Source organism: Homo sapiens, chromosome 4 (assembly GCF_000001405.40).
Source record: "Homo sapiens chromosome 4, GRCh38.p14 Primary Assembly".
Classification (NCBI taxonomy): Eukaryota; Metazoa; Chordata; class Mammalia; order Primates; family Hominidae; genus Homo; species Homo sapiens.
In genome coordinates, this window is record NC_000004.12 from 5676498 (window position 1) to 5702409 (window position 25912).

Sequence of the window (25912 nt, forward strand, 5' to 3'; positions counted from 1 at the left end):
ATCTCTGCAGGTCCCCGCCGCCATCAGCCCTGCTGGAACACATGCTATGACTGCCACGGCCTTGCCTCATCCTTATGTATGTGTCACATACAAGAGTAGTGTTTGGTTCATGCCTGACAAGCAGTCAACACTGGCTTAACCTAGAAGTCAGATGTTCAGCTGCCCCTTCCCCAACTTTAATTAAATCTTACCTTCAAGACCCAATTGAATTCTTCCTCCTCCAGGAAGCCTGCCAGTCCACCCAGCCCATGGAGTTCTCTCTCTCTCTGCTGTCAGTGTCCATGGTACAAGCAATCTATATTTCAGGTCACAAACTCACAAATTCAGTGAGCGCTGTGCATTCTTCGGTCTTTTTTTTTCATGTAGTGCCTCAGTGTGAGGGTGGGGATGGTGGGTGACAGGCAACCCGAGTGTCCATGCTGCCGCACGCTCCATTACTTCCTAGCATCTCGCACTGAGCCTGAGGTACACTTATAGCACCTGTGTAGCCCCCGTGGGCATTGGGGCATGAGGCCCTGATGCAAAACATTCACTGTCAGCATCACAGAACACTTGGCACAGCTGTGCTGTTCTCATGTGTAAATAATAGTAATAATACTGCTGACGACAACAGCTGACATTTATGGAGCCCTCACAGTGCCAGGCACTGTGCTGAGTACTTTACAGCCCTTGATCCATTTACCTCAACAACCATCCTATGAAGTGAACGTTGTTATTACTCTCATTTCACAGTTGGGGAAACTGAGGCCCTCAGAGGTAAGTGACGTGCCCAAGCTCACATGCAATCAGTGGAGGGACAGGGATTCAAAGCCAGGCCTTATGGTCCAAGAGTCAGCTGGGCCCACACAACACCATAGGGCCATCCTGTGCATACACCTCCTCTTCCCACTCAACAGGGAGCTCCCTGAATGTGGTCCACAGCCTGGGGGCGCCTGTCCTGGGGGCTGGTGTGGCTGAAATCCAGCCCCAGCTCCACGGCCAGGACTTGCATCCACAGGTCTGCATCCCAGGGGGCAACTATTCCTCTTTCTCCTGAAGGCAACATGCAGGTGACGGGAAGCCTGGAAGACCTCGGCATGGCTCAATTCCATCCATAAGTGAGCCTGCGGCATCGGGGAAGAGCTCAGAAATACCCTTACATGAGCATTCTCTGCCTTTTATTACACTCATACAGCAACCAGCCACCTCCTCCTCCTGAGCAGCAATCATCGTCATTGACGACAATAAGCTCAATCACGGGATATTTACCTGTTGAGTGCCACCTACAATGTACCGCACAGTGGGGGACACAGGCAAATCCGACATGGCCTCACCCGCCAGGAGCTCACAGACCACCAGAAGACTGGTTACCAGTGCACCCGACAGCCTCACTAAACTGAACACTCACCTAACGCCAGCCTTGTACTTTCTCTTCGTCTCTTCTGTGCAGGACTCTGGCTCTCTGGGAGGCGGTGTGGTCCAGTGCCTGACAGCAGGGCTCTGGAGCCAAACTGCTTGGGTTCAAATCCTGGTCCTGCCACTTACTAGCCATGCAGAAAAGAGTTAACATCTCCAGCCAGAGACTGGCATCCTCTGAAAGCCCTTCCTGTAGGGCTGGGCCTCAGCTGATGTCTGGGAACATGGATTTTGGGAGGGTTTCCACTATTTTCTGGTAAGAGTGGCTCTCTGTTTTCAAACTGTCTGTACAAACAGTGTGGCTTATGCTGAGCACCTCCTTTCCTTCTGGGAGTCTGGAATCTTGGTATATGCCAGGCAGAGAGTGCCTACGTGGCCAGCCCCCAGTGAAAATTCTGGCACTGAGTCTCTAAGGAGCCTCCCTGGTAGATAATACTTCACATGTGTTAGCACAACTCATGCTGGGGAGATGAAGCATCCCCTCTGTGACTGCTGGGAGAGGACTCTTAAAACTTGCAAGTGATTTTCTCCAAACTTCTCCTCATGCAACTTTTCCCTGGGCTGATTTTGCTTTGTATCTTTTCATTGTAGTAAGTCATAGCAGTGGGTACAACTACAGGCATGCATCACCTAACAAGGAAGAGATGTTCCTAGAAATGCATTGTTAGGCAAATTCCTAATTGTGCAAACACCACAGAGTGACTTACACCAACCTAGATGATCTAGCCTACTACACACCTAAGCTCTACGGTATAGTCTATTCCTCCTGGCTACAAACCTGTACAGCATGTTACTGTACTGAATACTGTAGGTAACTGTAACACGTACTAAGTATTTGTATATATAAACAGATCCAAGTATGGAAAAGGTACCAAAGCCTGTAATCCCAGCACTTTGGGAGGCCGAGGTGGCCGGATCACTTGAGGTCAGGAGTTCAAGACCAGCCTGGCCAATGTGGTAAAACCCCGTCTCTACTAAAAATATAAAAACTAGCTGGCTGTGGTGGTGGGTGCCTGTAATCCCAGCTACTTGGGAGGCTGAGGCAGGAGAATCGCTTGAATCTGGGAGGCAGAGGTTGCAGTGAGCTGAGAACGTACCACTGCACTCCAGCCTGGGCGACAAAGCAAGACTCTAAGAAAAAAAAGAAAGAAAGAAAAGAAAAATATGTACAAAAGACAAAAAAAAAAATACACTCGTATAGGAAATGTATCATAACTCGAGCTTGCAGGTCTGGAAGTTGCTCTGGGCCAGTCAGTGAGTGAGTGGTGAGTGAATGTGAAGGCGTAGGGTATGACTGTACACGACTATAGACTTTAGAAACACTGTACCCTTAGGCTACACTACATTTATTTATTTATGTTGAGACAGAGTCTCACTCTGTTAACCAGGCTGGAGTGCAGTGGCATGATCTCGGCTCACTGCAACCTCCGCCTCCCAGGTTCAAGCAATTCGCATGTCTCAGTCTCCCGAGTAGCTGGAATCACAGACACGCACCACCATGCTCAGCTAATTTTTTTTGTATTTTTAGTAAAGACCGGTTTAGCCATGTTGGCCAGGCTGATCTTGAACTCCTGGCTTCAAGTGATCAGCCCACCTCAGCCTCCCAAAGTACTGAGATTACAGGCATGAGCCACTATGCCTGGCCACTAAATTTATTTTAAAAATATATGCTGTGCAGGTTTCTTCAGTAATAAGTTAATCTTGGCTTACTGTAATTTTTTATTTTTTATTTTATTTTATTTTACTTTAAGTTCTGGGATACATATGCAGAACGTGCAGGTTTGTTACATAGGTATACATGTGTCATGGTGGTTTGCTGCACCTATCAACCTGTCATCTAGGTTTTAAGCCCCACATGTAATTGCCCTTGCCCCCCATCCCCCGACAGGTCCCAGTGTGTGATGTTCCCCTCCCTGTGACTTTATTACCTTTGTAATTTTTTTTTTAACATTTTGACTCTTTGGTAATAACACAGCTTAAAACACAAACACACTGTACAGCTATACAAAAATAGTTCCTTTCTTTATATCCTTACTCTGTAAGCTTTCTATATTTTTAAGGTATTTTTTTAAAACACTTCTTAAACTTTTTGTTAAAAACTAAGACACACATTAGCCTAGTCCTGCACAGCATCAGGATCATCAATATCACTGCCTTCCACCCCGACACTCTGTCCCACTGGAAGGTCTTCAGAGGCAATAACAGGCATGGACCTGTCATCTCCTAGGATAACAATGCCTTATTCTAGAATCCCTCCTGACGGACCTGCCTGAGGCTGATTTATAGGTAAGCTTATTTCGGATTTGATCAGTGGAAGGGATACACTCTAAAATAACAATAAAAAGTATGTATAGTAAATACGTAAACCAGCAACATAGTCTTTTAGTGTCATTATCAAGTATTATGTTTTGTACATAATGGTATGTGCTAGACTTGTTATGATTGGCAGCACAGTAGGTTTCACACCAGAATCACCAAACAGGTGAGTAAACGCACCATGCTACGATGGATATTACACAACCACATTATCACTAGGTGACAGGAATTTTTCAGCTGCATTGTAATCCTGCGGGACCACCTTCATATATGCAGTCCACTGTTCACCAAAATGTCATTATGTGGCGCGTGACTGTATATGTAAGTCCCGTGAGTCACCCTAGAGAATCACCGAACCCGGGGGTGGGTGTTGGGGACCCTGACATTCTAGCCATGGGATACTGGGCAAATCACTTGACTTTAATGTGCCTCGGTTTCCCCATCTGAAATGGCAGAGATTTTAAAATAGAATCTGTCTCACAAGACTGTGGTAAAGATGACATAATTCCACATAAGTAAATTGCTTAGAATGCTTGGCACCCAGTTTTAAGAAACGTGAAGTGTTGTTACCTGGTGAATTAACACTTGGTGAATACATGAGTGAGTGAACATGTGAGCTGCAAATGATTAAACTGAAGAACAGAAATGGAGAAGTATTATGGTGAAGAGCAGAAGCAGAGAGACCCGCCCCACAGACTGCAGGCTTTGGGAAGATCTGGGAAAACACAATGTCACCAGCAGCTTGACCTAGTGGCAAACACTGGGGATAGGTAGGAGCGTGACTGGACAGTAGCACAGACGGGCTGTGGAGCCTCAGCCTGTCCAGCCCACGGCCTACCTGCCTTGTCCAGGTGGAGGGTCATCCAGGGAAACCAGTCAGATAGCCTCAGGGCACACGGGGGACCCGAGAGACTGCACAGAGTCCCAGTCTCAACGCATAACTGGGGGACCAAGGCCAGCAGCTGGCCGCTCCCCATGGCTCCAAGGACAGGCAGGACCCACACAGCACAGGTGTGTCCTGAGGGTGCTCAGGGCATGTCATGTCTCTTACCGTTACGTTTTCTTCTGCTGTTATGGAAAAAAGCACTTTCAGCTGTGTTCTGTTCTAGAAAAGGAAAAAAGAAAACACTTTCAGCAACAGTTTGGGGTCTGACACGTGGGATAACATTTGGTGCGATTTCCAACCCTCCAAGCCTGGAGCTACAATCAGCCCTAACTGCTGCACAGGTCAGAGCTTGTGAAGGTCTCACCATCAGGAGGAAGGGGCTTTGGGGATAGGATCCCTCCCTCTCTACTGGAGGCCGTGTGAAATCCAAACACCAGCTTCGCTAACATCCAGAGAAAGTCATGGCAGCATGCCCTTGTGGAGAAACGCTTGGGGTTGGGCACTGACTCCAAGCCTGTGACCAAGGCAGGTCACCTCCACTCTCCCAGCGTCTGCCTCCTTCACAGAGGTAGATGGAATCCTGGGCTCTGACTGCACTGCACGTGTTCTTCTCTCACTCAAACGCACTTGATTCTCCAAGCCCCAACCCGCTGTGGGTCTATTCCTAATGCTCTCTAATATTCCTCTGCTGAGAAGATACAGGAAACAGAAAAATAAAGTGTGTCATGGTATCCACCTGTCTAACCGCATGGTGACCGACAAGACCCACCGTGAGAACATACTTCTTCCTGGGGGTAAAGGCAGAATAGCTTGCCACTGACAGGCTGTCTATAGGGTGGTGGTTAGGGCCAGGCTGTCTAAGTTCATACAGGGCCCCACTGCTCACCAGCAGTTGGACCTTGGGCAAGGTATTAGCCTCTCTGTGCCTCTGTTTTCTCATCTGTGAAATGGTAATCATATTCAACTCACAGAATTGCTATGAAGATTAACTTAGGTAATATAGAACCCTGAAGAGTGCCTGGCACTAGGGAATGCTATAAAATATTACTGCTATTGGTGGCTGTAGGTAGTAGTAGTAACATTAGCAGCAGCAGCAGCAGTAGTAGCAATAGCAGGCCGGGGGCGGTGGCTCACACCTGTAATCCCAGCACTTTGGAAGGCCAAGGCAAGTGGATCACCTGAGGTCAGGAGTTCAAGACCAGCCTGGCCAATGTAGTGAAACCCCATCTCTACTAAAAATCAAAAATTAGCTGGGTGTGGTGGCGGGCACCTGTAATTCCAGCTACTCAGGAGGCTGAGGCAGGAGAATGGCTTGAACCCAGGAGGAGGAGGTTGCAGTGAGCTGAGATCATGCCATTGCACTCCAGCCTGGGTGACAAGAGTGAAATGCTGTCTCAAAAAAAAAAAATAATAATAATAATAAAATTTTTTAAAAGCAATAGCAATAGTAGTAGCAGTAGTATCATTATATAGAACCAGACTGGCTGGGCGCTGTGGCTCACACTTGTAATCTCAGCACTTTGGGAGGCCGAGGCGGGTGGATCACCTGAGGTCAGGAGCTTGAGACCAGCCTGGCCAACATGGTGAAACCCTGTCTCTACTAAAAATACAAAAATTAGCCAGGTGTGGTGGTGGGTGCCTGTAATTCCAGCTACTCAGGAGGCTGAGAGAGGAGAATCGCTTGAACCTGGGAGGCGGAGGTTGCAGTGAGCCCAGACTGCGCCATTACACTCCAGCCTGGGCGACAGGAGTGAAACGCTGTCTCAAAAAAAAAAAAAAAAGAACCAGACCTTGGGACTTAGAGCTTGCAGCCCAGTGAGCTCAGCAACCCATGTAATTCTCATTACAGACGCGACTAAGGCATTTTTCTGTAACCTGAGCTATGCTCCTCCCAAGGTAGCAAATCCCCGATCCATGCCCTACAGATGTTATGGCAGCAGTGCTAGGAAGCAGTGGGACTTCCCAAATCCACTGTGGGCCAGCAGGCAACCTCATGGAGGCTTCAGCGAAAATCAAAATACCGTAAGTCCTCTTTTCATAGGAGGGAAATGGAACAGTTTTAGAATATGACTCTAAAGAAGAGACACCTCTGAGGCATTCATTCCCTTGGCCTTTTCCATTCTTGAGTTACCTCTGCTTTGGAATACGTACGGTGCCTTGGAGTCTCAGGGTCTCCTGAGCTGGAGCCTGAGGCTAAGTTCAGAGCCCACATTCTAGTACATTCTGCTGTGTTCCCACAGATATGCAGATAAGAGCCTAAAGCGTGCTATCAAAGCTTGTCTTCAGCTCTTTGTGAAACATAAATCCTCACTCCAGTACATGCATGCAGTTACGTTTTTTAGTTCCTAGCATGAAGCCAGAAAACATGGACCAAGTGGGATTCAACACAATGTTACTGAGCACCTATTACGTGCAGGGTTCTCTTTTTGGCCCTGGAGACACAGTTGTGAATAGGACACACTAGGTCCCTGGTTTCACGGAGCTGACATTCTAGTGAGGGAGTGGGGGAGGGGTTCCTAAGGGGTAGAGTCAATATCACAGACAGGAACCAAACAAAGTAACAGGCGGGACTATTTCAGGGTGGGGCAGGGGAAGCCACGAGGAAGGTCCTCCCAGAGCATGCAGGGAGCCAGGCTCTGTGGAACCACAAACCTCCCCCTGCTCAAGCCAGCCCGGCCCAGGAACACACACAGCTGGCCAGGAACACACACAGCTGGCCAGGAACACACACAGCTGCCCAGGAACACACACACACAGCTGCCCAGGAACACGCACAGCTGCCCGGGAACACACACAGCTACACGGGAACACACACAGCTGCCCGGGAACACACACACAGCTGCCCGGGAACACACACAGCTGCCCGGGGCTTCAGCTCCTGAGGCTCCTGCCTGAGGACATGGAAGCTTCCATTTCATTTCATTCAGAGTTTCTGATTTGCTTTCTGATGCTTACCTTGTCTTTTCCTTATCATTACTTTACCTTATCTTGCTAATTTACTTGGTTTCCTGCCTTCTGAAATTGTTATGATTTCTTCTGGACCATTTTATCCATGTTTTCCAAAATCTGCCTTTGTTCTCTATTTTTGTACCCTTATACTGAATTATTTCCTGAGAGAATTGTCCTTCCCAGTAGTTTTATGTCAATTTCTTGAATCTTGTATTTAGCCTCTTTCATGTTATCTAAATTTATCTAAGGTTTTTTGTTTTGTTTTGTTTTGTTTTCCCCTCATTGCAGCAGAACCACCACACTGGCCTCGCAGCCTCAGGGTGGAAGGAGGCCTCAGGAGGAGGCTGCAGGGTACAATCTGATTCTGTTATGTGACCTGGGGCAGTCACAGTCATGCTATGAGCCTCATCTTCCATGTCCGTGAATAGGGAAGACTTTCTCCAGAGGCTGAAGACACAATAAAATGACAAAAGGAAGCAGAGCATCATGATCTCCTTGAAGTCGGGGACCACATCTCCTCCAGCCTGTACCCGGGGTGTGCAGCACCTGCCAGGACAGGCAGCCAGCCAGCCAGCATTCACTGCGTAAGTGAACCCACCACAGGGGCAGTGAGAGATGGGGAGACTCACAGTAATGGTGTTATGGGCCAGACTGTGTTTCCCAAAATTTATATGTTAAAGTCTGAAGTCCAGTGCCCTAGGATGGTGACTGCATTTGGAGACAGGGTCTTTACAGAGGTAGTAAGGTAAAGTGAGGTTGCTAGGCTGGGTCATGGTCTTGTATGCCTGGTGTCCTTATAGAAGAGGCTAGGACAGACGTGCAGCCAGGGAAGGCCTTAGGAAGACACAGGGAGAAGGCAGCCTCCAAAAGCCAAGAACAGGTCTCAGAAGGAATCAGCCCCGCAGACACCCTGATCTCTGGCTTCCAGCCTCCTGGACAATACATTTCTGTTGTTTTTAAGTCTAGTCTGTGGTACTTTGTTATGGTAGCCCTGCAAAATTAATAGTAATGGTAACTACCGGTTAGTTGCTTACAGTGTGCAGGACACAGGGAAGAGAATTCACATGTATTGATTACCTATCCTTATGATAACCTCATGTGAGGCCCAGAGGGGTTAAGTAACTTAGGCAAAGTCACATGGGCATTACTAAGGGAGCCCAGTTCATGGCAAGGCGTGTGAGACTCCAGGGCCTATGCCCTTATCTGCTAGGTGGCATCACTGAAGGAAGGAAGGAACTAACAGGTCTTCTGTCTGAAGTGTCCCTATTTCTAAAACAACCTCTCTTGGCAGTGGCAAGACAGAGATTAAAGTAACAAAGGTCATACCCGTGACGAGCTCTGAAAGGTGAGTTGGGCAGGAAGCTTGAGGCTCTCCCCGTTCCCGAGGTCTCCAGCCTGGAGCGTGGCTGCGTAGCTGACAGCAAAGGCATCTCCCACTGCGCAGAGAAAAGCACATGTGACTCAGGGAGGGCTTGGCCACGCCCCCGGCTGCACCCCACCACACCCCAGACACATCCTGGCCCCTGGCTTCAGTGGTTCCAAGGGAGGCCACCATGGCAGTGATGCCTGCAGCAAGGAAGCCCTTTGTATTGCACACAGCTGGGTGTGGGGAGGGAATTCTCTGAGTAGTAAGCTGGGGAGAGTGAGCTGGGTGGACTCCTGGACTCCCACTCCTGACGTTTCCATTCACGAGTGGGGGTGCACCACCCGCAACAGGGCTGGCTCTCCTAGCCCTTTCTCACTGTGCAGCGCACCTCATCCCATAGGTAAGTTTGGGTGGGCTGTGCTCAGCCCATCCTGCTCGGGAGAGGCTGTACCAGGACTGGAGGCCTTCGCCTGATGTGGCCGGGTGGGTGATGGAGCCCGTCTAACTCTGCCAGTCACTGTTCTCACCTAAGCTTGTCCTCCAATCTGCCTTTCTCCCTAACAGAGTTTACTTATAGCCCTAAAACGCCACAATATGCCTCATTTCTCAATGTATGCAGACCTCAAAAATATATATAGATACATATATACACACATATATAACATATATACACACACATATATATTACACACACACACACACACACACACACACACACAGAGTAAAGAAAAGAGGAGGAACGCTCACTTAGCCTAAGGAATCACTGGCATTTTTGTTTTAAAAATCCTCAACATTTTCATTTTTATTTAAAATTTTTTATTTATTTATTTCTGAGACAGGCTCTCTCTATGTTGCCCAGACTAGTCTCGAACTCCCAGGCTCCAGTGATCCTCCTGCCTCAGCCTCCTGAGTAGCTGGGACTTTAGGTGTGGACCATGCTCATCTCATTTTATTTTTATATAACCTAGAGCTAAGATAATGAACGTAAAGTGATAAAGATAATGGCAGTGACAATGACAATGACGGGGAAAGAAGTCATAGTCAGACCTTCCCCATACAGTGATTTCATCACTCTCCACGTGCTGCACCTGCATTAACCCAGCTGATCTCCACACACTGCCCCGAGATGGATGGAGAACACGTGATTTTCTGCAACATACAGAAGAAGAAACTGAAACTGAGAGACAGTGACTGGCTTAGGATCACCCCGCTGATGGACAGGGAGCCACCTGACCCTCTGGGTCCCATCATCTTTTCCCCAAACAACACTGGCTCTAATAAAAGAAAAGCACCAAATAATAATGATGAGGTCAGAATGTCAATGAACTGGGACCTGACTGGTCATTTGATTTTATAGTTATCTACTTATGCTTTGGGGAAAAAAAAAAAAAGTCACCTGTGCCCCAAGGTGAAAATCAATGTCACATTCCTTGGCGTAGCGGTGAGTTCACAGATAAATATGATTTGGACACTGCCCTCAGGGAATGTAGAGCCCAGTAGGTAGAGCTAAGCATGGGCATAAATAACAAGAATGGAGCAGTAAGAATAAAAATAACAACAACAGTGGCCGGGCATGGTGGCTCACGCCTGTAATCCTAGCACTTTGGGAGGCCAAGGCAGGTGGATCACCTGAGGTCAGGAGTTCGTGACCAGCCTGGGCAATATGGTAAAATCCTGTCTCTACTAAAAATACAAAAATTAGCTGGGCATGGTGGCACACGCCTGTAGACCCAGCTACTTGGGAGGCTGAGGCAGGAGAATCACTTAAATTCGGCAGGTGGAGGTTGCAGTGAGCCGAGATTGTGCCACTGCACTCTAGGCTGGGCGACAAGCATGAAACTCCATCTCAAAAAAAAAGAAAAGAAAAGAAAAGAAAAAACCACCAACAAAATACCTCCTATTACCAGGAGCCCGGGAGCACTTTCCACAGCCGGGCTGCGTCATACTGCTTTAACTCCCTTACCCTCACAGCGCCTTCCTAGGTGGGTGTTACTAGCATGCCCAGAGGAGAGATGGAGAGCCAAGGTTCAGAGACATGCAGTGTGCACGTGCTAGAGCAGAAGTCCATGAATTCACGTGTGGAAAGTGCCTAGAATGGCCCTAGGCTCCAAGCAGGGAAGCAGGAAGGGGCAGGTAGTCTCTGTGGAAGTTTGGAGGCAGAGGGGTGACTTTGGGGCAAGGGACTGGGTAGGGCTTTCTAGAAAAGGTGACACCAGGGCCAGGTCCCAAAGAATAGAGATGATTTGTATATTCAGAGTTGGGGAGAGGTGCTTTCCTGACCCACACAAGAGCAAGAGTAGATGCTAGGAGATAGGAGAAGGGTAGGAAGCTGGGTCTCGCAGGAGCATGGACCATGAAAGGTCTGCGGGGAAATGAGATGAGAGACGTGCAGGACCACGGGCTGAAGAGGGTGTTGGACACCTTCCCTTTACCAGGCAGAGTGTCTGGGTGACATTGTCTCCTTGATTCTATCTCTACGACTCCACAATGGACTGATATTCGCACAACCAGAGCACTTCAATAGCTTTGCAGAAGCCACGCAGCTTCTCAGTCACAAGGCTGGGAGTCACCCAGGTCCATCTGAGGCTGCATCTATGCTCTGCTCGTGGCTCCATGCTCCATGCTTTGAACACGAGTTAAGAATAGCGGATTCATCTTTATATCATTGAAGGCAGGAAAGCACTGAAGGTCACTTAGCTGGGACATCTCATAACAACTTTTATGACATCATTTAAATGAGAGCCAGCAAAAAGGTCACTACTTGTGGGCAAGCTCCACTAGTAGCTTCTGTCAATAATAGCGTGTTAAGAAGGATTCTGAGGCCTTATCTAGGCTCAGAGGGAAGGAACAGCATGACTGATGAGCGATGTGTGCCGTGAGTACGGAGGCATGGAGTCGGTAAGAGTTCCAGGCGTGTGAGAAGCATGACGGTTTAAAGGTTACCACGGTGCACAGGGAGCCACACTGCCTGAGCTTGACTCAGCCTTGACAGCGGCCAGCCCTATGACCTCGGGCAAGCTTCTCAGCCACTTTAGTCCCAGTCTCTTCATCTGTAAATGAGGTCCTACTAAGAATAAAAGATGTCTTTGCCCTCCTAGGGAAACTAAGTTCTGAAGCCATGGTACCAACTGAATCCCAGAATTGGTCTTAAACCTGCTTAATTGACCAATAACAGCCCACCTCAGGAAACGAACCTCTGAAAGCCAACCAGTGAGGGTGGCAGAGTCTACAAGCCAACCAAGCAGCCCTGGAGTTACCCCAGTGAACATGCTTGAACACCTGAACACACCTGGACAGCTCAAGAACATGCTACTGAGACGGATGTCAACCCACTCCCACTCTGTCCGGCACAACCCAAAACAAACTCTTCATCTTCCTGAGTGATGGTTAATTTTGGTGATCTGAGTGACAGGTATACTGGGGTCCACTGTCAACTCTATCTTTGTGCATGTTTGAAATTTTTCATAATAAAAATAGACTATGTATTTTTAAAAATTTCCCACAACTCTTTCCCCAAATCCAACATCTCTCTAAGATAAATGAGAAATTCAGCTTTTTGGTTACAGATATTGAATGTGGTCTCTTTTCTCTTTTTTTGATACCCTGATAGTAAGATCCACTGTGAGGATTAGGAGAGTGAACATGTGTAAGGCTTTAAGAACATGCCTGACCCAGAACACATTCACCTGGAAGTATCTGTACATATTCTCATTTGTCATCCCTGACTTCAGAACGCTTTGCTGTTACCTTGCAGAAACTTCTTGCTAAAAGCCTGGAATCCTTCCGAGGTCCTGTTTCCCACAGAGTCCCAAATGGTGAGACCAGCAATGCTGTCCAGCAAGAGCAGCTCCGAGAGGTTGGCTGACGAGGTTGTCTTGGTGTTGTTAACAAGCAGCCATATGCGGGCTGTCTGTGCTTCACTCGACCCAGACACCTAGGGCAGAAGGAGAAGGCATGAGGGCAGATTTGCTGACAAGTCCAGCTTCCTAAAATGGGGCATGAGCCCAGCCTGTGCACATTAGGCATCCAGGAAGAAGGAGGGTAGCACGGTCTCGCAGAGGGCCTGGGAATTTATCAGTCTCAGTATGATTTCAAAGACCCCCAAGAGGTTTTGACCCACACTTCCCAAGCTGTTGCTTGGAGACAGTTTCAAAGAAACTGAGATGCTGAAATGCAGTGAAATAATCCTTGCAGAGAATCTTAGAAGAAAAATCTCCAAGTGCAGAACCAGTCAGGTTGGGGAAATTGTGATAACCAGTGTTACCAAGCAAACAATGGCTCCTTGGTACTTAGTTATTTTGAAGATTCAGCCTCAGCCCAGGGTCTCTGATGGTCATGTGATCTCCAGGAAGGACCCGAGCTGCTCGTCCGCCTCTTGGATCATCTCCCACATTCAGGCTCTGCCCAGCACATGTCTCAGTGGCTCTACTGCCAGAAGCCATCCAGCGGCCCATGCAACAGGCTCATCACCTGGGCTCTGCACTCTTGCCCTGCCTTCCTCTCTAATCTTGTCTCCCAGCCCTCCTGCACCAGCTTCTCTCCAGCTCTGCTGAAATACATGCAGGAGCCAGAAAAAAGAGAAGGAAGCAATGTGTGTGCTGAGATGAGCGAGCTCTGGAATATAAGAAGTGATAAAAGAAAGCTTCAGAACTGTGTGTGTAATATACTGCCACCTGTGTGAAAAAAAGTGGGGGAGAAAGAAGGTACATCTATGTATACATGCATGTGCACACACTTATAACTGCATGCATATGGCAGAAAAAGTCACTAGAAGGATATACAAGAAACTACTAACACTGATTGCATCCAGGAAGGCAAACAATGTAGTTGAGGGCCTGTGATAAAATGAGGGTGGCACAGGAAAGGCTTAACTCAGCAGGCCTGGGCTGTCCAAACCCTCCACATTCAGGAGAAAGGACTGGCCCTTGAGCAGCTCCTGAAAGATAACCTCTAAAGCCTGCAGAATATCCTTGCCTGATTACAGTGTGGGTTGTTGTTTTTTTTTTTTTTTTTAATATGCCTGGGTCCTTTGACCTCACCAGATAGCTGATGCCAATGAGTTGTGATGGGTGCCTTGGACCCTGCTGTACTGAAATGACCTCTGGAGGGGCTAGAGAACGAGTAACTGAGGTCAGTCTCATGGGTGCTCCATGCCTATGTGACTGAGCCTGAGAAAAACCCTGGACCCAAAGGCTCCAGTGAGCTTCCCTGGTTGGCAATATTCCATCCGGATTGTCAAACATTATTGCTGGGAGAACTAAGCTCTGTCCACACAACTCATCCACTGGGAGAGACAGCCGGAAGCTCATGCCTGGTCTCTCCTGGGCTCTGCGACATTCACCTTTTTCCTTTCCTGGCTTTAATCTATACCCTTTCTCTGTAATGAACTGTAACTGAGCAGAATGGCTTTTCTGAGTTCTGTAAGTACTTCTAGCAAATCACTGACCCTAAGGCAGGTGCTGGAGACCCCTGACACAAGGATAATATGTGGGATTGTAACCACCTTGTAGGATTAGGAAGGTTAAAGACCTAAAAAACATTAAACAACTTTGAAAACTGTCAGGTACCCTATTAATGATTATAATCTGAAACAAAATATATCAGACTTTTTTCCCATTCTAAATGATCTCTGTGGATTTTTACTGACAATTATTTAATTGTAACAAAAATAATCTCAGTCCTAGTATTGCCATATGAGATATCACAGACCTTGCTATTTGTTCATTGCTCATGTGTCTAGACTTGTGTAGGTAAGCCCATGATTTATCAGTTCTTAAATACATGACTCTAATAAAATGATCTGGGCAAAATCCAATTATTTTCTCTTCAAATATACACCACCAGTGGAAACTTACCAGTGCACATTTCTGAAAAATTACTCCATTTTCAGAAGTCCCTTGAACTTCTCTTGAAATGTCCCCATACTACAATAAAATGTAAAAGTTATTAGAAAATGAGAAATATTTCATGCTATACATATTTAATAAAAGTACAAGATAATGAAATTTTTACAGAGGGTAGAAAGATTACTGCTACTAATCCTTAAGTAATCTTGAAGTCTTATTTTTTAAAAGAGCATTAAAGGATTAGAAATTAAAACTTATGGAAAGAAGAATGTGGACATGAGCTTACACCACAGTGTATTCCTGGTCTGGGTGCAAGTGTGGGACACCTGTTGTCACAGGGCTCAGCCAACCAAGACTGACATACCAGCAAGGGGGACGTGGGCAGAGCAGTGAAGATATCATTTAACATGTACCGTGTGCTTACCAGGTGTGGGCTGACAGTACACCTGTGCACCATGGTGCGCTGGAACAAAGGGCAGTGTGTCTGGGGGCTGGGGGCAGCCTCTCTGTGAGCTTGATCCCTCATCAACATAAGGAATCCCCCCACCAATGCTTGGCCTCCTCCAGCCCTGCAATGGCTCCTACGAAAAGGTTCCAAAGGAAAGCCAGGGCTCATCCATCAAACACAAGCCTCCTGTTGCCCTTGAAACCGCAGGTTTCCTTTCCGTTTGACTAATAACAAATATCTGTTCATTTCTGCTCTTGCCATGCTCCCTGCCCCAGGGCCCTGCAGTATCCACACACCTCCTTTAAATGGGACTGGACCCTTACTGCATCAAGGAAGCCCTCCTTGGCTCTCCTTGCTGTGATGACCACATCTTTCCCACTCTCTGCCTTGCGCACCTGTCACCTGCAGTGGAACAAGCTGTATTCTGAGTCACGGACTCTGGCAGCTCTCAGTGATATTCATAATCGTATGTTTTGTATATTTTTTATTTATTTTGTTTATTTTTGTAGAGATGGGGCCTTGCTATGTTTCCCAGGCTGGCCTTGGACTCCTGGCCTCAAGTGATCCTCCTGCCTTGGCCTCCCAAGGTGCTGGGATTATAAACGTGAGCCACCACACTGGGCCTAATAACCATAAAATGTCTGTCATTGGCTGAGGGCCAGGCATGGCAGCCATCACTTTACATACATGAGTTCTATTACTCCCATTTTATAGATGAGGAAACTAAGACTCAGAAAGGTTAATACTCTTGCCAAAGATTACTCAGGCAGGAAGCTCGAGACTCTCCCCAGGCCTGTGTGACTCCAAATCCTGTGATCTTTCCACAACATGCATTCCCTCTCCACAGTGTAACCCTCTCATTGTGTAGAAAATTAACAAAAATGCCGGGCGCGGTGGCTCACGCCTGTAATCCCAGCACTTTGGGAGGCCGAGGCGGGTGGATCATGAGGTCAGGAGATCGAGACCATCCTGGCTAACAAGGTGAAACCCCGTCTCTACTAAAAATACAAAAAATTAGCCGGGCGCGGTGGCGGGCGCCTGTAGTCCCAGCTACTCGGGAGGCTGAGGCAGGAGAATGGCGTGAACCCGGGAAGCGGAGCTTGCAGTGAGCCGAGATTGCGCCACTGCAGTCCGCAGTCCGGCCTGGGCGACAGAGCGAGACTCCGTCTCAAAAAAAAAAAAAAAAAGAAAAAAGAAAATTAACAAAAATGCCATTTTCCAAAGAACACGCGGACAATATGCAACAGCATCAGCCTGACCCAGGCCTCTGATTCAGTTGAGCTTCCATCCACTACACCCCCGCTAATGCCTTTTTAACGTGCTGGGACCCTAAGAGAATTTGCCAAAGCCCTCAAGCAGGGACCTGGCTTTCTCTTCTGACCTTCATATAGCATCTTGCAAACAATAACTGATAAATACAGCTTGTGGAGCAAATAAATGCAGAAGGGACGACTGAGTATGGAGGGTGCTGCCCTGTGAGGTGACGAGTTACCTGTAACTGGAGAGGACTGGAAAGAACAATGAGTACTGTAGTGGGTTCAGAGATGAACCCCAAAGGATATGTCTGTGTTCTGATCCCCAGAACCTGTGTATGTGTCCTTATTTGGAAAAGAGGTCTCTGAAGATGTAATTAAACTAAGGATCTCAAGAGATCATCCTGGACTATCCAGGTGGGCCTGACATCCAATGACAAGTGTCCTTATAAGTGGCACATAGAGAAGACACAGACACAGAGGAGGCCAAGAGCAGATGGAGGGAGAGAGTCAAGTGATCCAGCCACAGCCAAGGATGGCCTGGAGCCACCAGAAGCTGGAAGAGGGAGGAGGATGCTCCCCTAGAGCCTGCAGAGGGAGCGTGGCCCCACCAGCACCGGGCTTCCAGACTTCTAACCTCCCCAGCAGTGAGAAAATACATTCCTGTTGTTTTCAGCCATGCTGTTTGTGGTCATTTGTGACAGCAGCCCCAGGAAATTAACATCACTACTTAGCAGGGAGCCCAAAAAAGGGCTCTTGGCCATCGTAGCTCATTGGCCAAGCTCAACAGTTCTCGTACTACGTTAAGTCACTGAACCCACGTTACATAAAATCAGAATAGAAAACAACAGCAAGAGCACGGAGCTCTGCCACTTCTACCTGTGGGACATGGAACTAGTTTCTTAATCTCTCTAATCCTCAATTTCCCGTCTGTAAAATGAGAATAAAAATATTACTGTTTAAGAAACTCATAATGAGGCTCAAGTGAGATTATACATAGAAAGTGCTAAACCCAGTGCCCGACCCATAGTAAATGCTTGTGAAATGTTCACTGCTATTATGGGCACAGTCATCTTTAATAGCTGGCAGTCACTCGGTCTGGTTAAAGCACAATCCAATCCCTGCTTCAGAAACACCAGATGAGGCAGCCTAATGCTGAGTCAAACCTCCTCTCCATCTAAATACTGTATGTTGTGTAGCAGAAATAGCACCTTGGAAAAATAAATGGATTTGCTACCCAGTGATAACTATATTTAGTGAAAGAGGAGGAATAGGGTTTTTTTAAGCAACAAAAACCCGTGCCATTTTATATACAGGCCATAATTGGTTTATTTCCAACTTCTGGTATTTGTGTTAAAGCATTGAACTTAATACTTACCAGGCGGTGTGTTATAGGAGACTCTCTTTTAAATAAGTTCTTCTTAGGCCAGGAGGGTATAAAAGCAAATAAGGAATGAGCCCATGGCCCACTAGAGGCTGCAGAAGTTGAGAGTGGGATGAAGACTTCCATTTTCTTGTCCAATTTCATTCCAAGTGGTGCTTCCACTGCAAAACAACAACACACCCGTTTTATATAATGCGGAAAGACAGTAAGACATAGAACTTAACCTCTAGAGACAGACTACAGGGTACATGGAAGGTACTTAGAAGACGTTTGTTGGGTAAGTAAGTTAATGAAGGAATGAATGATATCATCTCTTTGCCAGGAAAATGAGACATGCTCACTGGGATGCTACAGAACTTAAGAAGAGCATTTTTCAAAGCCTCGTCTCCTTACCTGGGTTGTGCAGCCCCACCTAGGAATCAGAACTGCTGGGCAAGAATGATGCCTGGGTTGATTCTTACACACATGACATTAGACAGCCCTGGGCTTGAGTCCTGGCTCTGCCCCTCCAGCTGTGAGTCCTTGGGCATAACCTCTAACCTCTCTATACCTCGGTTTGCTTAATTCTAAGGCAAACAGCATAGGTCTCACCTCACTAGGTCCTTCTGGGCACCCGCCTACTGCAGAGTAAGCCCTCAGTGAACACCACCAACCACCATCCTAAAGAGGATGTGTGCACGGCCAGACACAAACGCCTGCTGAGCCCTCCAATAGGAAATGACTCCTGGGCCAGGCACCGCAGCTGACACCTGTAATCCTAGCACTTTGGGAGGCTGAGGCGGGCAGATCACAAAGTCAAGAGATCGAGACTATCCTGGCCAACATGGTGAAACCCCGTCTCTACTAAAATACAAAAAATTAGCCTGGTGAGGTGGTGTGCGCCTGTAGTCCCAGCTATTCGGGAGGGTGAGGCAGGGGAATCGCTTGAACCTGGGAGGCGGAGGTTGCAGTGAGCCGAGATCATGCCACTGCACTCCAGTCTGGGCGACAGAGCAAGACTCCATCTCAAAAAAAAAAAAGAAAAAAAAAAGAAGAAAGAAATGACTCCCTTAGATTTTTCTCTGTGTCAATACATTTGGAAAGTTCATGAGCATTGTGTGCAAAGCACAGGAATGTCACTTAAAAGGTCCGGGCTGGGCTGTCAGGGTCCCTCTTCAGTGGATGCGGCCCAGGTGCTGATCAACTGTGGGACCTTGCACAGGTCAGCTGAGTTCTCTGGGCCTCAGTTCCCCTCACCTGGGTGTGTGGTTAAGATACCAATCAGACAGGGCTGTTGTCTGAGCAGCCAATCAAATGCCACACTGCACATGAAAGTGCTTAGATGTATCCAATGCTTCAAGTCAGCAATTTTAGTTTTGAAATGACCTGGATGGTGGCATTGTGCCTTCTTCAACATTTGTCTTTTATTCAAATACAAACTAATTTGACTGAAAATAAGGTGTACTTTTCAGTCTTTCTTACCCAGCATATTGATGGTAAAGACTACAAGTGCTTTTGAAACTTTCTATAGAATTTCAAAATATATGCAGGAAAAAAACTAAAATCTGATTAAAAAAAGATGTGGAGCTGGGTCCTGGATTAAATTACAGTATTTTTTTCCTTCCTTGGGTTGTATTTGGGGGTGATTCAGTTCCTCAGGTTGGGATGGGATAAGGGCTCCAATTGCATCAAGCATCGGGGAACTGATGGCCCTCGCCATGGAAACAAGTGGGTGCTCCACCAGGTGAGCGGCTGATTCAGAGCATCGGGAATGTCTGAGTAGAGCATATGGGTGCAAGTGAGACCGGACATCCATCTCCGGACCCCAGCACAGCACCCTGGGCCAGGGCACAAATGCTTGTGCAGCAAGCAACCAGGACATAAAGTCTTAAGGCCACACCTTACCCTTAAGCGCTCCATCTCTGGTCCACCCGTTTATGCCTCTCTGGCTCTCCTGGTCCTCAGCTTTAATGAAGACTCCAAAGTGATCCCTCCCTTCAGAGAGGACCCCTCCTCTATTCAGCAAGAATCCCGCTCAGTCTACAGAGCCAAGTGGGGCCCACCCGAATCCCAGCCCATCCCATTCCCCAGGACACCAGAGTTAGGCACAGAACCCAGACAACCCCACCCAGTGGCCCCAGGGATAGGTTCAGGGACAGGCCGGGGACCCACGCTGAGCCCAGGGGCCTGCACTGGAACTGTCACAGCCGCTGGGAAGTCTGCGCTGCAGGTGCCAGCCATGAGGCTCAGGAGCCAGGGACTGCCCGCGGCATTTTTCCCACCATGGGGAAAGGATGTAACTGCCTGTGAAAGATGCTCACCAGAGGAAAGCAGGGCGGCTGAGAGGGAAGGAGAAAGGCAGAGCCGTAGGAGCATTGAGAACCTTGTGCTCCTGGGTCCAGCAGTGCCAGGGCCTGTGCGTTTCAGTTACAGATGCCAATGAATTCCTCTTGATGAAATGAGTGTCAGTTGAATTTCGACCACTGAGTGTGGCAAGCTGAATAAAGGTCCGCAAAGACAGCCAGGTCCTAACCCCATGAAGCTGTGAATGTTATCTTAGGGTCTCAGATACTTTGCAAATGTGATTCCATTAAGGGCTTCGAGATGGGGAGATTGCCTGGATTATCCTGGTGGGCCCTAAATGTCATCACAGATGTCCTTATAAGAGGGAGACAGAGATTTGACAGACAGAAGAGAAGAAGGCCAAGTAACTACTGAGGCACGATGCCATGCTGCTAGCTTCCAAAATGGAGGAGGGCAGTATCCCCAATCCATCCCTAAGGAACGCAGGCAATGCGGCCATAGATGCTGGAAAAGGAGAGGAATTGGTTTCGCTTCTGGAACCTCCAGAGGGAGCAGACAGACACCTTGACTTTGCCCAGTGAAACTGATGTTGGACTTCTGCTTTCCAGTACTGTAAGAGAATAAACGTGTGTGGTCGAAGCCACTGTTTGTGAACATTTGTTAGGGAAGCCACAGGAAACTGATATACCCATTTAATTCACACGTTCTGTTTCATTCACCAAATGCCTTCAGGGGATATCAAAAAGGGCCTACCTCACCCTAGGTTCCACTGTGCACTAACGCTTCGGCCAGCTTTGAGGTGGAGGTACACTGCCCTAGTTCTGTAAGGTCAGGGAATGATCTACTTGCCCAAAGTAGAGAGGTGCTGGAAGGATCAGCAGAGAGTGAGGGAGCTGGAGGAAGGAGGGCTTCAGGCTTCTGGTTTTTCATGCTCAAAACAGGGGAACATCAACCAGAAGAAAAACTCACCTGCAGTCTTAAAGTGACAGCATTCCACTTTGGGCCAAATCATACAGGGCAAGTCCTAAAAAATTCAAGACACAAAGTCATTAATGGAACACATACTTCTGAGAAGTGATAATAAATAATCTTTGTAAATGACTCACATGGAGAGGACATGCACTTTTTTTTTTTTTTTCTGAGACAGAGTCTTGCTCTGTCACCCAGGCTGCAGTGCAGTGGCGCGATCTCGACTTACTACAAGCTCCACCTCCTAGGTTCACGCCATTCTCCTGCCTCAGCCTCCCGAGTAGCTGGGACTACAGGCGCCCACCACCACGCCCAGCTAATTTTTTTGTTTTGTATTTTTAGTAGAGACGGGGTTTCACCATATTAGTCAGGATGGTCTCCATCTCCTGACCTCGTGATCCGCCTGCCTCAGCCTCCCAAAGCGCTGGGATTACACGTGTGAGCCACCGCGTCCGGCCAAGGACCTGCACTTTCATCCAGAAGTGTGAAGTAAACTTTTCTAAGTCGGCCATTCCCGGCAGCTTCTGAGTAAAGAATTCCCTTCTCTTTCCCAGGGAGAGAATCAGCGCCCTCATGAATGCATTTCTGGGAGCTGTCAAGGGAGGCCGCACCATGTGATTGAAATGTCTTATCATCAGACAGACCTGGGTTCAAACGTTAGCCCTGCCCTCCATCAACTCTGTGGACCCTGGGTAAGCCAACAGCCTGCGAATTCCCAAGATCCTGCAAGTTTCCAGGGTGGTAGATAAGACACTAGATGAGGAGTGGAGAGAACTGGACTCTAGCTGGAACCATTTATTCACTGTGTGTCCTTGGCTAAGTCTCTCAGCCTCTCTGAGCCTCAGATCCCTCTTCTGAAAAGTGACCTCAAAGCCTCCTCCGAGTCTGCTCAGCCTCATTGGTGATGAAAATTTGTCTAAACTGAGCCTGGCCAAACCCTTCCAATTTACCTTTATGAATCACTGGGCTCTAGAAAGACTCAGACCTCTCTACTGAATAACAGTAAAAGCTCTCCCAGATGGAACCTTCTCCATGTGCCAGTGCTTACGCTATGTGCACTGAGTGAACTGTACAAGTAGTCCCTATAGAAATGCATGAAGCATTATACTCATTGTACAGCACTACCCCCAGTCTACAGTAATGAGATAACTCACTCCAGAGCCTGGCACGCAAGCAGCCTGGCCTAGCACATGTGCTCACCCTGCACGCAACGGCTGGTTTCTGTGTAATGGAAGAAGAAAGGATGTGTATGTGAGTTGAGCGGGATGCTCAGGCCTGGCTTTGGGTCCAGTTCCAATGACTAGTCCATGTGGCTACTGTTCACATGGCTCTCACGCGGGCCAGACACCACGGAAACCATAAGGTGGGACAGGATCGATGGGACAACTGTTGTGGCCACTGTCTGTGTGTTTCAGCCCCAGTCCTTACAGGCCTCCAGGACCCTGGCTGGGGCAGTTCTGCTGGGGTGATGTAACCCCAGCTGGGCTGGAGGCTGATTTTCCCCCAAAGGTGTGGAGGAGGCCCACCCACGGAGATGGAGACTCCTGGAGGGACACGGAGGAAATGATGGAAATTGCAGAGACAGTGGCAGAGACAGGCAAGAGGTGTGGGAAGAGGGAAAATGGGTGCAGCTCGATCCAGACAGGCTTCTACCAAACCCACCCCAGCATTCCCCATTGATGGAGCCAAACATCTGGCTTCAGTTTGTTCACACGGAGCTTATGTTATGTTATGGGCAGCGTAAAGAATTCTATTTAAAATAGTAAATTATGGTACAAACATTCTATGGAGTACCAGGCAGCTATTAAAAAGAGTAAAGCAGCATGATTCAGAATTCCACTTCTGGGCATATATGCAGAATAACTGAAAGCCAGGTCTTGAAGAGGTATTTGCACATCTGTGTTCACAGCAGCATTATTCACAATAGCCAAAAGTGGAAGCAAGCCAAATGTCCATCAATGGATGAATGGATAAGCTAAATGCGGTCCATCCATAAAATGGAATATTATGCAGCCTTGGAAAGGACAACATAGGGAGACTCCATCTCTACAAAAAAAAAAAAAAAAGAAAAAAAGAAAATTAGCCAGATGTAGTGGCACATGCCTATACTCCCAGCTACTTGGGAGGCTGAGGCAGAAGGAATTACTTGGAGCCCAGGAGGTCGAGGCTGCAGTGAGCTATGATCATGCCACTGCACTCCAGCCCAGAAGACGAAGTGAGACCCTCTCTGAAAAAAATAAATAATAAATATTAATAATAAATAATAGGCTGGGTATAGTGGCTCACGCCTGTAATCCCAGCACTTTGGGAGGCCAAGGTAGGCTGATCACTTGAGGTCAGGAGTTCGAGACCAGTCTGGCCCACATGGTGAAACCCTGCCTCTACTAAAAATACACAAATTAGCTGGGCATGGTGGTGGGTGCCTGAATCCCAGCTACTTGGGAGGCTGAAGCAGGAGAATCACTTGAACCCAGGAGGCAGAGGTTGCAGTGAGTGGAGATGGCGCCACTGCACTCAGGTATGGGTGACAGAGCGAGACTCCGTCTCAAAAAAAATAAAAATAAAAATAAAGAAATAATAATAGGGGACACTATGTATGTGTGTGGGCAGAGGAGGTATATGTGAACTTTCTGCGCTATGTGCTCGATTTTTCTGTAAATCTAAAACTCTTCTAAAAATTACAGTCTATTACTTAACAAATACATCCATGTGGTCTCTGATATGAACATTTGCCAATGGATGGCAAAGCATCCATTGGATGGTGCACCGAACTCCACACAAATGTACGTTTGTACAACCTCTGTCCCCTGGAACTTTCTATCCATTCTTTCAACCAGCACCTGCTGCTTGTTAGGCACTGTGCTAGGGATCACATGTCAGGCAAAGCAGACCTGGCCCCTGACCTCACCCAGGGACAAAGCTCTCCTTACCAGTGGACATTGCCACTCAGGAGGAAGGGGCAGGTTCCCAGGGAGCAAAGGACCCAGGCTGACCTCCATGAGAACCCTGGGCCAGGCCTCCCAGGGCAGTCTCGCTGGTTTCTGGGCATCTCTGATTCTTGTCCTCACCAAAGTCCCCAGCCTGGGGAGGTACCTCTCTGGGGACTCCAGCCACTCTGGGCAACCGCTCCCATAGGCACCATGCCAGGTGCAGCCGATAGCACCTTCCAATGGCCAGCCTGCCCCTCCCTGTCATCCCTCTCTCCAAGCTGACACAGCTCCTGTCGAGGTCACCACAGCCACTCCAACGTTCCACTTAATGATCAGTCCTCCTCATCGCACACACTTACCAGCACCATTCGATATGTGCTTATTGCAGCTTCCCGTGGCTGCTGTACACATCACTGCAAATGTAGTGGCTTAATACACATTTATTCTCTGATAGTTCTAGAAGTCAGAAGTCTGACACAGGTCTCAATGGACTAAAGTCAAAGTATTGGCAGGGCTGTGCTCTTTTCTGGAGGCTCCAGGGGAAAACCCATTTCCTCTCCTTTTCCAGCTTTCAGAGACTGCTGCGTTCCTTAAGTTCATGGCCCCTTCCTCCATTGTCAAAGGCAGCAGTAGCTGAGTCCTTCTCACGTTGCATCTCTCTGACCTCCTTCAAACATCTCCTTCTGATCTCTTCTCTGCCTGCTTCTTCCACTTTTACGGACCCTGATTATTACACTGGAACCATCAGATAAACCTGAATATATTCCTTATTTTAACATCAGTTGATCAGCAACCTGAATTCCTTGTATAATGTCAATTCCCATGGCCATGAAACCTGACATATCCACAGGTTCCAGGGGTCTGGACGTGGGCATCTTGGGGAGCCATTATTCTGCCGACCATGGTGAGCCCCTTTCTCCCTTCCTGAAATGCTCTCCACCCTTGACCTTCGGGTCACATTCCTGGTTCCCTTTTACAGAGGCCACACGTTGTCCGGCCTCCTCTGTTGGATCTTTTCCTCTCCTAGTCAAAAGTCCTGGGGTTGCTCCAGGGCACTCTTTCCAGTCGAGAGTTCCTCCTGAGGTGAGCTCATCCAGGCCCTCAGATGTTAAAGGTCATTTATACACTGACTATTCCCCCATGTAAATCTCTAGTTCATATTTCTCCCCTCAAATCCAGACTTGAATGCCTAAGAGACATGTCGAACTCAACAGCAGTGATTTCCAACCTGAGGCTGCTGCACATTAACCAGTGGCATCTCCTTTCTCCTATTGGCTCAGGCCAAAATCCTTGGATTTGTCTTTGATTCTTCTCTTTCTCTCTCTCAACCCAGAACCAATCCCAGTAAACCCCACTGGCTCTACCTTGAAAAAACATCCACAATCCAGCAACCTCTCAGTAGCCCACCATTACCTCCCCAGTCCAGCTCCCCTCCATAGCCCCCTGGCCTCCCGCCTGCCTGCTTGCCACTTTCCTGCTCACACATCCGCCTGCCATCTATTCTCACCCCTGCCACGGGGGTGCCTGGAAAGGAAACATGAGAGTGGGTCACTTTCTTGCTGAAAGCCCATCCACAGCATCCCATCTTACTCGGAACAACTGTCGGAGTCCTGGCCAGAAACAAGGCCTTGCCCGTCCCCCACTCCATTCGGGGATCCGCTCAGCTGTCACCTCCTTACAGCACCTTCCCTGCCCATCCTGTCCATATCATGAGTGCCCCTCATCTCTCAGACCACTCTGCCCACTGTGTACATCTCTACAGCCCCAACCACCAGTGGACACACCACATAGTAACATGATTCCTGCCTTTTTCCTGCTCCAAGAATGCAGGTTCCTCAAGAGCAGGGGCAGGTCTTGGTCTGCCTTATCCTGTTATATTTCAAGCAT

The 25912-nt window shown here is 48.0% G+C and overlaps 1 protein-coding gene across 7 annotated transcripts in view; it reads right to left on the minus strand.

The window, feature by feature from the left end:
* EVC2 (EvC ciliary complex subunit 2) overlaps positions 1-25912 on the minus strand; it is a 180538-nt gene that overhangs the window by 147487 nt on the left and 7139 nt on the right. For all 7 annotated transcript variants that reach the window (XM_047449611.1, NM_001166136.2, XM_017007736.2 and 4 more), the window contains 6 exons: positions 21096-21150; positions 17838-18004; positions 14768-14836; positions 12660-12846; positions 8873-8982; positions 4763-4816 (listed from right to left, as the gene is read on the minus strand). In XM_047449611.1, the coding sequence (XP_047305567.1) occupies positions 4763-4816; positions 8873-8982; positions 12660-12846; positions 14768-14836; positions 17838-18004; positions 21096-21138 (630 nt within the window). In that variant the 5' untranslated portion in view covers positions 21139-21150. The remainder of the gene's footprint in view (positions 1-4762; positions 4817-8872; positions 8983-12659; positions 12847-14767; positions 14837-17837; positions 18005-21095; positions 21151-25912) is intronic.